The following is a 1,368-nucleotide window of genomic DNA, read 5'->3' on the forward strand; positions in this document are numbered from 1 at the left end:
TTTTTATTGATTCTCCACCTATAGTGTAAAATATCTCCATACACAGTGTAAAATCTACTTGATGAGAAGATGGTGGCAGTAGAAAAGGCTCTAGAGAGATAAAGCTTGCTTAAAAATACGGGAATGTGGGTGGCTGGCAAGATGGCCAAATAGGTACAGCTCTGGTCTGCAGATCCCAGCAAGATTAATGCAGAAGGCAGGTGATTTCTGCATTTCCAACTGAGGTACATGGCTCTTCTCACTGGGACTGATTAGACAGTGGGTACAGCCCACAGAGGGTGAGCCAAAGCAGGGTGGGGCGTCCCCTCACCCGGGAAGTGCAAGGGGTCTGGGAACTCCCTCCCCTAGCCAAGGGAAACCATGAGGGACTGTGCCATGAGGAATGGTGCATTCTGACCCAGATACTATGCTCTTCCCCTAGTCTTCACAATCTGCATACCAGGAGATTCCCTCAGGTGCCTACGCTACCAGGGCCCTGGGTTTCAAGCACAAAACTGGGCAGCCATTTGGGCAGACACTGAGCTAGCTGCAGGAGTTTTTTTTCATACCCCACTGGCGCCTGGAATGCCAGCAAGACAGAACCGTTCACTCCCCTGGAAAGGGGGCTGAAGCCAGGGAGCCAAGTGTTCTAGCTCAGCGGATCCAACCCCCACAGAGCCCAGCAAGCTAAGATCCACTGGCTTGAAATTCTTGCTGCAAGCACAACAGTCTGAAGTTGACCTGGGACTCTCCAGCTTGGTGCAGGAAGAGGTGTCCACCATTACTGAAGCTTGAGTAGCTGGTTTTCCCCTCACAGTGTAAACAAAGCCACCAGGAAGTTCAAACTGGGCGGAGCCCATGACAGCTCAGCAAAGCCACTGTAGCCAGACTGCCTCTTTAGATTCCTCCTCTCTGGGCAGGGCATCTCTGAAAGAAAGGCAGCAGCCCCAGTCAGGGGCTTATAGATAAAACTCCCATCTCCCTGGGACAGAGCACCTGGGGGAAGGGGGAGCTGTGGGCACAGCTTCAGCAGACTTAAGTGTTCCTGCCTGCTGGCTCTGAAGAGAGCAGCGGATCTCCCAGCCCACACTCGAGCTCTGCTAAATGACACACTGCCTCTTCAAGTGGGTCCCTGACCCCCATGCCTCCTGATTGGGAGACAACTCCGAGCAGGGGTCGACAGACACCTCATATAGGAGAGCTCTGGCTGGCATCTGGCGGGTGCCCCTCTGGGACGAAGCTTCCAGAGAAAAAAAAACAGGCAGCAATCTTTGCTGTTCTGCAGTCTCCACTGGTGATACTCAGGCAAACAGGGTCTGGAGTGGACCTCCAGCAAACTCCAGCAGACCTGCAGCAGAGTGGCCTGACTATTACAAAGAAAACTAACAA

General features: G+C 52.9%; 1 annotated feature.

Moving 5' to 3' along the window:
- Positions 681-870: an enhancer, noted in NCBI's record as "active region_9198". NCBI's record gives its function as "activates an Ori minimal core promoter by ATAC-STARR-seq in GM12878 lymphoblastoid cells {active_cell/tissue: GM12878}" and the evidence as "EXISTENCE:reporter gene assay evidence [ECO:0000049][PMID:35858748]".

This window comes from Homo sapiens, chromosome 15, assembly GCF_000001405.40.
Source record: "Homo sapiens chromosome 15, GRCh38.p14 Primary Assembly".
NCBI classification, from domain to species: domain Eukaryota; kingdom Metazoa; phylum Chordata; class Mammalia; order Primates; family Hominidae; genus Homo; species Homo sapiens.